This window comes from Homo sapiens, chromosome 7 (genome assembly GCF_000001405.40).
Source record: "Homo sapiens chromosome 7, GRCh38.p14 Primary Assembly".
NCBI lineage: Eukaryota > Metazoa > Chordata > Mammalia > Primates > Hominidae > Homo > Homo sapiens.
This window is the reverse complement of record NC_000007.14, coordinates 36,084,770-36,093,099: the sequence shown is the minus strand read 5'-3', so window position 1 is coordinate 36,093,099 and position 8,330 is coordinate 36,084,770. Positions and strand designations below refer to the sequence as shown.

The following is an 8,330-nucleotide window of genomic DNA, read 5'->3' as shown; positions in this document are numbered from 1 at the left end:
CACTTAACCTGCACCTTCAAATGTTTGTATTTAATTCAGAAAAGACTCCAGTTCTCCCAGTAACCCACAGCTGCTGTGTACACCAGCCCCCACCCCATGTCTTCTTTCCCCCTTGGTGACATATCTTCAAAAGAAGTCCAGAGCAATCATATTAGCCACTTGATAGCACATTTGGTAAGGGCTTGGGTAGAGGATCAAGTTGAAATCAATGATTTAAATTAGGTTTTTGAGTTTATGTTTGTTTTCACATTCAACAAACCCCTCGTGCTTTCTTCCTATCTATTAGGCCTTGCAGGTTCATCGAGATGTCCTTGAGGTTCTGAGGGAAATGATCCACAATCTCATGAGTTCTCCCTCCCAGTTAAGCGGGAGGCTGCCCCGGGCAGTAACCCTGGGCTGCCTTGCAGGATTCTGGGAGGCTGGGTTGGGGTGGGGGCTGGTCGGGCAGGAACCTGCATGTGCAACTGTGCTGATAAGTCATATCTGAAGCCAGAACCAGAAGGAAAACAAGGTCACCTATGTAAAGGGGTGGGTGGAGCAGGAGACAAAGTCATGAGAACCAGGGCTGCCCGCCCGGAGCTGGGAGCAAAGCAGAGGATGAGGGTGCAGTCCAGGGGAGCTGAACTGGGGGGAGCTTCATCCGAGTGCCTTTCCAGGCTGGGGAGCCCCTGCACCTCACCACTCTTGGACATCTCTGCCCTCCCCAGACTTCGCCCCTGCACTGGCCTCTCAGCACTGGCTCTCTTTAAAGTTGCCTGGGCAGCTTTATGAGAATGTCCGTGTCTGCCTCCACCCCAACGGCTTCAGGTTTGCTTGGTCCCGGTTGAAGCCCAGGCACTGTGTGTTTGTGTACGTCCTCCAGGTGATTCCAGGACAGGCTTCGTGTCGAAACACAAGAAATAGCACAGAATCTATTATTTCTTCTCCACAGGCCCTTTTCCAAGTTGTACTCAGCGTGGAAATTTTTGTCAACATAAATCTAAGGACAAGAAATTTCTTCCTAGAGATACAACACAAGTGAGACAGATGGGATGGTTGGGGTGGGGAAGCATCACAGAGCATGGGGCTGGTTCAGGGCTCTGGGCTGCCAACTTTACAGAGTTCTCATCTCAGCATCTACATCTGCACAGACTCATGCAGTAGCCTATAACAACCAGGAGAGCTAAGGCTCCTGAATACGGGACCTGGAAGTTATGACCTTTGAGCAATTGTAGCCAGAAAGAAGCCTTGTCTGCTATTGGATTTGGAGCCCCAGCAGAGGGGGTGAGCCATCTAGGACAGACTGGAGGACGACAAGGAAGTGTGGCCACAGACAATCAATAGAATGAAAGAAGACACTGTCAACGGGAAGGGATGAAACATTCCTCACAGCCCCACCTGGCTAAGGTTTCACCAGCCATTAGCGTGGGGGGCCTGGAAGTGAATATGGGAGGCATATTATGTTTATTTGTCCTTTGTACATTCACGTGCAAGTTGATGATTTGATGAGCGGTATATAGTTTATTCTGTAGTGTGGGATTGGCCACAGGAGTATAATTTAATTAGGGCTGCTCTGCATACTGATTTGCTTAGTTTGAAGCCCATTCCTCCCCTGGGCAGGGAAGTCTCTAAGCCTCTGATGGGTAAATGGGAAATTAGGGCATCTGTGGATGACATAGAATGTAGATTAGCCAGGCGCAATGATGCACACCTGTAGTCCCAGCTACTTGGGAGACTAAGGCAGAAGGATCACTTGAGCCCAGGAGTTCAAGGTCAGCCTGGGCAACATAGTGAAACCCTCTATAAAAAAAAAAAAAAAAACAAAGAATGTAGACCTCATGAACAATAAATGCCTACCCAGGGCTTCAACTGGGCATTTCTCCAGAGCCAATATGCTGTCGGGCATGCCAGACATGTCACTGTCATTGTGGCTTCTGCATGGCTATGTGTGAACAGGAGAAGTGGATTTCAAACTATGAATCATTTTCAGGATCAAGTCTGGGATGCCAGTAATTTCATTTCTGGGCCCATTTACCCACAGCAGAGCAGGACAGCTTTTTGTGGAGCAGGAGATCCATGCTCCATCCATAGAGGAATGTCTTGGAGACAGCTGACAGTCTGCGTTTGGGAATGCTGACAGCGCTGGCACAAAGGAATGCCCATTTGTATATGCATTCAAGCAAAGAAGAGTAGAAGATACTCGGTAAAAGCTCCAGGGATACTAGGAAGAGGATGAGGTTTATGTAAAATAGGAACCCTCAGCTAAACAAATATTGGTAATAACAAAAAGGTGGGTGGTGGGGGAAGAAATAGAATATTTTTGGTTACAGCTGCATTTTCATTTAACAGTTTATGAAATATGGTTCAGAAAAGGGAATAGGACATGATTAAAAGGCAAGCTGGTCAATAGAAAAATAGTGGGGAGATTATAAAAGAACTTTTAAAATTAATGTATTAGTTTTTCTGCTGTAACAAATTACTACAAGCTTAGTGGCTTAAAACAAGTGTAAGTTAACTTATCTTACACTTTTGGAGGTCAGAAGTTCAAAATGGTTCTTAAAATCAAGGTGTCAGTCAGGCTGTGTATTAGTTTGTTCTTGCATTGCTATAAACAAACAGCCGAGACTGGATAATTTCTAATGAAAAGAGGTTTAATTGGCTCATGGTTCTGCAGGCTGTACAGGAAGCATTGCACCAGCATCTGCTTCTGGGGAGGCCTCAGGAAACTTACAATCATGGCAGGAGGTAAAGGAGGAGCAGGCATCTCACATGGTGAAAGTGGGAGCTGGCGGGGGGTGGGTGGTGCCATACTTTACAACAACCAGATCTTGAGAAAATTCACTCACTATCCTGAGGATAGCACCAAACCATGAGGGATCAGCCCCAATGACCCAAACACCTTCCACCAGGCCCCACCTCCAACACTGGGGATAACAATTCAACATGAGATTTTGGTGGGGGCAAATGTCCAAATTATATCATACCACCGCTGGCCTCCGCCAAATCTCATGTCCTTCTCACATTGCAAAATATAATCATGCCTTCCCAACAGTCCCTCAAAGTCTTAAATCATTCCAGTATTAACTCAGAAGTCCCAAGTCCAAGTCCCAAATCTCATCTGAAGATGAGTCCCTTCCACCTATGAGCCTGTAAAATCAAACAAGTTATTTACTTCCAATATATAATGGGGGTACAGGTGTTGGATAAACATTCCCATTCCAAAAGGGAGAAACTGGCCAAAAGAAAGGGATTACAGGCCCCGTGAAAGTTTGAAACCCAGTAGGGCAGTCATTAAACCTTACATTTGAAATCCAGTGGGGCAGTCATTAAACCTTAAAGCTCCAAAATAATCCTTGACTCCATGCCCCACATTCAGGGAACACTGGTGCAAGGGGTGGGCTTCCAAGGCCTTGGGCAGCTAGCTCCTGTGGTTTTGCAGGGTTCAGTGCCTCAGGCTTCTCTCATGGGTTGGAGCATGCCTGAGGCTTTTCCAGGCACAGAGTGCAATCTTCTGGTGTATCTACCATTCTGGGGTCTGGAGGATGGTGACCCCCTTCTCACAGCTCTACTAGTCAGTGGCCCAATAGGGACTCTGTATGTGGGGCCTTAGTAGAAGTTCTCTATGAGGGCTCCACCCCTGTAACAGGCTTCTGCCTGGGCACCCAGATTTTCTCATACACTCCCATCTAGGTGGAGGATGCCAAGTCTCTTTCACTCTTGCACTCTGCACACCCACAGGCTTAATGCCATGTGGGAGCAGCCAAGGTTTATAGCTTGCACCCTCTGAAATGGTAGCCTGAGCTGTACCTGGGCCGCATTGAGCCATGGCTGGAAGGGGAGCAGCTGGGATGTGGGAAACAGTGCACCAAGGCTGGGCAGGGCAGCGGGGCTCTGGGCCTGACCCAGAAACCATTATTCCCTCCTAAGCCTCAGAGCCTGTGAAGGGAAGGGCTGCCTCAGCGATCTCTGGAATGCCTTTGAGGCCTTTTTCATGTTGTCTTATCAGCACCTGGCTCTTTTTTAGATATCCAAATCTTGCTAGCAAGTGGTTGCTCAACAGCCTGCTTGAATTCCTATTCTGATCATGCTTTTTCTTTCTCTGCCACATGTCCAGGTTGCAAATTTTTCAAACTTTTACACTCTGCTTTTTAATTACACTCTCTTTTTAATTATGAATTCCAAATTCAAGTCATTTCTTTGCGCCTGAATCTGGGCATCTGTTAAAAGCAGACAGGCCACACCCTGAATGCTTTGCTACTGAGAAATTTCTTCCACCAGATACCCTAAATCATCACTTTCAAGTTCAAACTGTCACAGATACCCAAGGCATGAACACTTTGCAGCCAAGCTCTTTGCCAAGGCATAACACACATGACCTTTGCTTAAGTTTCTGATAAGTTCCTCATTTCCATGTAAGACCTCACCAGCCTGTCCTTCACTGTCCATATCGCTATCAGCATTTTGGTCACAACCATTTAACCAGTCTCTTAAGAAGCTTCAAACTTTCCCTCATCTTCCTGTCTTCTGAGCCCTCCAAACTCCAACAACCTCTGCCTGTTACCCAATTCCAAAGCCACTTCCACGTTTTCAGGTATCTTTATAGCAATGCCCCACTCCTCAGTAGCAATTTTCTGTATTAATCTGTTCTTGTATTGCTATAAAGAAACACCTAAGACTGGGTAATTTATAAAGAAAAGAGATTTAATTGGCTCATGGTTCTACAGGAAGTACAGGAAGCATTGCACCAGCATCTGCTTCTGGGGAGGCCTCAGGGAGCTTCCAATCATGGCAGAAGGCAAAGGGGGAACAGGCAGGAGTGGAAGTGAGAGAGACAGTGGGGAGAGAGAAGGTGCCACACTTTACAACAACCAGATCTCGAGAGAACTCACTCACTATTGTGAGGAAAGCACTGAGCTGTGAGGGATCGGCCCCATGACCCAAACGCCTCCCACCAGGCCCCACCTTTGACATGGAGGAATACACTTCAACATGAGATTTGGATGGGGACAAATATCCAAACCATATCAGGCTGCATGGTTCTGGAGGCTCTAGGGGAGAATCCTTTTCCTTCCTTTTCCAGGTTTCAGAGGCTGCTCACATTACTTGGCTTATGGCCCCTTCCTCCATCTTCAAAGCCAGCAGGGTAGCATCTCCCAATAATTATCTCTCGCTCCTTCCATCATCAAATCTCCTACTTCCTCTGCCTCCCTCTTACAAGGACTCTTGTGATTACATCAGACACATTTAGATAATTCAGGATAATCGTCACTTCATCTCAAGATCCTTAGTTTTGCTGGGTGCAGTGGCTCACACTTGTAATCCCAGCACTTTGGGAGTCTGAGGCAGGAGGATTGCTTGAGCCCAGGAGTTCAAGACCAGCCTGGGCAACATAGTGAGACCCAGTCAACAATAACAAAAAATTAATAATTAAAAAAAGGCCAGATGTGGTAGCTCACGCCTATAATCCCAACACTTTGGGAGGCTAAGGCTGCAGAAGTACTTGAGCCCAGGAGTTCAAGACCTCAAGACCAGCCTAGGCAACATTGTGAGACTTTGTCTCTACAAAAAAATAAAAATAAAATAAAATAAAATAAAATTAGCTGGGTGTGGTGGCTCACACCTGCAGTCCCAGCTACTCAGGTGGCTGGGGCAGGGGAATTGCTTGAGTCTGGGAGGTAGAGAGAGCTAATCATCATGGCTCACTAGCCATGATGGCTCCACTGCACTCCAGCCTGGATGACAGAGTAAGACCCTGTATCAAAAAAAAAAAAAAAAAAAAAGAATCCTTAATTATATCTGCAAAATTCCTTTTGCCATTTAAGGCAACATATTTACAAATTCTAGGAACATCTGGATGAAGGAGGGCATAATTTTTGCTACCACGGCATTGTAAATGATTGTCTTTTTTTAAAGACCTAATTTTGGAATAATTTTAGATTTACAGAGTCCAGAGATTTGTAAGTCTTTTAAAAACATTTTTTTCATCTCTGATTCCAGCTTTACAAATGCTTTCACATTAAAAATTATTTGAAAACCATTTGTGAAAGTACCTTGAGTTCTTTGGAAGAAAGGTGCTGTTTAGTGCAAGTTGTTCGTGATACCACTGACCTCCTTCAGAGGAAAACCATGCAGTTTGTCGCTAAAAGCCACCAGCCTCTTCTTTCCCAGGAAACATCCTGGAGTTGATTCCTTAGGAGGCACTCCTAAGCCTCATGACCATCACTGCCCCATGCAGGCAGGTGAAGTTACTTCTCTCCACCTATTGGGAAACACATTCTACTCCAGAAAGTCCTTCTCTGTGTCACTTCATCCCCACTTTCCTCAGTTGTTGCCTTGGGCACTGCCAGGCAATTGCCACTTGTAACTGGCCAAGCAGGTGACACCTGGGAACCTGAGTCACCTGTGCCCCAGGCCTGTGAGCCAGCCATCTTTAGGGATGCTTCCAGGAGGCTTAGGGAACACTGAGCTCTCTTTAGCCAGCTCCTGTCTAAGAACCTCCCTCTTCCTTTTGCTACTGGTTCTGGCTCTGAAATCAGAGCTAGCCCTATTAGTGATTTGAGGCTACTTGTTGGCATAATGCCTTCCAAACCCAGGTGTGCACTGGAATCATCTATTGTGCTTTGTCAAAAATACACATCCCATGAAATGAATCTGGGTTGTCTAATTGCACAGAAAAGCAAGGAATTAGTCAAAGACCAATGGGGATATGTCAAAAGGACACAAGAACCAGCTTGAAAGCTAAGTCTGGGATGACTTGAGCATGAAAATGAATAGTGATAGTAATGGATTATAAAGCATTGAATAAAATAAGAATGTATAAAGTCATACTGACATAACTACATAAACAAGTAAATAAACAAGCAAATGTTCTTGCTAAATAAAAGTCCACATTGGAGACTCACCTCTTAAAATAGGTCTGGAATGAGATATGTTGAGGCAGTATTTTAGGAAGTGAATGTTTCTATTTTTCTTTTCTTCTTTCTTTCCTTTTTTTTTTTTTTTTTTTTTTTGAGGCAATGTGTCATTCTATCACCCAGGCAGGAGTGCAGTGGCACAATCATGGCTCACTGCAGCCTTGACCTCCCAGGCTCAAGAAATCCTCCTGCCTCAGCCTCCTGAGTAGCTGGGACTACACTACTGTGTCTGGCTAATTTTTAAATTTTTTTTTTGTAGACACAGGGTCTCACCATGTTGCCCAGGCTTGTCTTGAACTCTTGAGCTCAATCAAGCAATCCTCCCCACTTGGCCTCCCGAAGTACTGTGATTACTGGTGTGAGCCACTGCGCCTGGCCTTGATTTCTTAAAAAGCACTGATGAGCAGTCAAGATTCAGCCTCTCTAGGTAGAACACAGCCAAAGAAGTTGTAGAAGAAAGACCTAAAGTATTTGTTGTTTCATTCATTCTTTCACCATTTATTAAAACCTAGTATACGTCAGGTGATGTACAAAACTGGGAATGGAAAAGAGTAAAAACACTTCCTGTCTTCTCAGCTTCCTGGAGGTGGCTCTGGAGGTCTCAGAGCCCAAAAGAAGGAGGAGGACTTTGCTGGGGGGATCAGGGAGAGAACGGCATTCAAAATCAAGGGCAACTCTGCATTTGAGAAAACTCTGCTCCTTTCCAGAACTCCCGTACAATGCTCAGGGTGACTGGTGCACGGGAGGGCAGGGCACGGTGGTGGCTGATGGTAGATTTTATTGTGCAGGCGAAGGGTGCACTGCAGGGTTGCAGCACAGACGAGCAGTTATAACTACTGACTTCGCATGCACCGCGTGCCCGGCACTGGTCCGGCCCATTGTGCCTATTCAGCTGTGTCACCCTCACCGCAGACAACACTGTATGTACAGAGAAGGAAATGGCAGAGCCAGGCGGGGTGACTTTCCAAGGCGCGCTACTGGCAAGCAGGAATCCACGTGACTCCAGAGCACACACTGTTAACTCCTCAGCCGGCCAGCAGCCTTGGCCTTACCTGGGAGCCCCTCAGAAATGCAGAATTTCAGGCCCCACCCCAGATCCAGGGATTCAAAATCTGCCTTTTAACTTGATCTACCAGAGATTCCTACACACCAGAAGTGCCAGTCGAGTAGGTCACTCTGACCGCCAGGAGGATGACCTGAGGCGGGGCAGTGGCTGGGAATTAGCAAGACAAGGTGGAGGACTGCTGCGCTGCCGGAGAAGGGGTCGGGCCCAGGGGCCACGCGCTGCCGTGTGCTGAAGCCCCCTTCTCCCTCCCTTGGCCTTCCTGTCTGCATCTCGACTGCACGCTTGTTAGGAATGGCCCGGTGCTCCCCGGGCGACCGCACAGATCTAGCATGGCGGTGTCCATCCGCCAGCGGCCAGTGTGGATGGGCTCA

General features: G+C 46.7%; 1 annotated feature.

Moving 5' to 3' along the window:
- Window positions 7,464-8,105: an enhancer, noted in NCBI's record as "H3K4me1 hESC enhancer chr7:36124605-36125246 (GRCh37/hg19 assembly coordinates)". NCBI's record gives its function as "activates a minimal SCP1, AML or CMV promoter by ChIP-STARR-seq in primed H9 embryonic stem cells {active_cell/tissue: H9 hESC(primed)}" and the evidence as "EXISTENCE:reporter gene assay evidence [ECO:0000049][PMID:30033119]".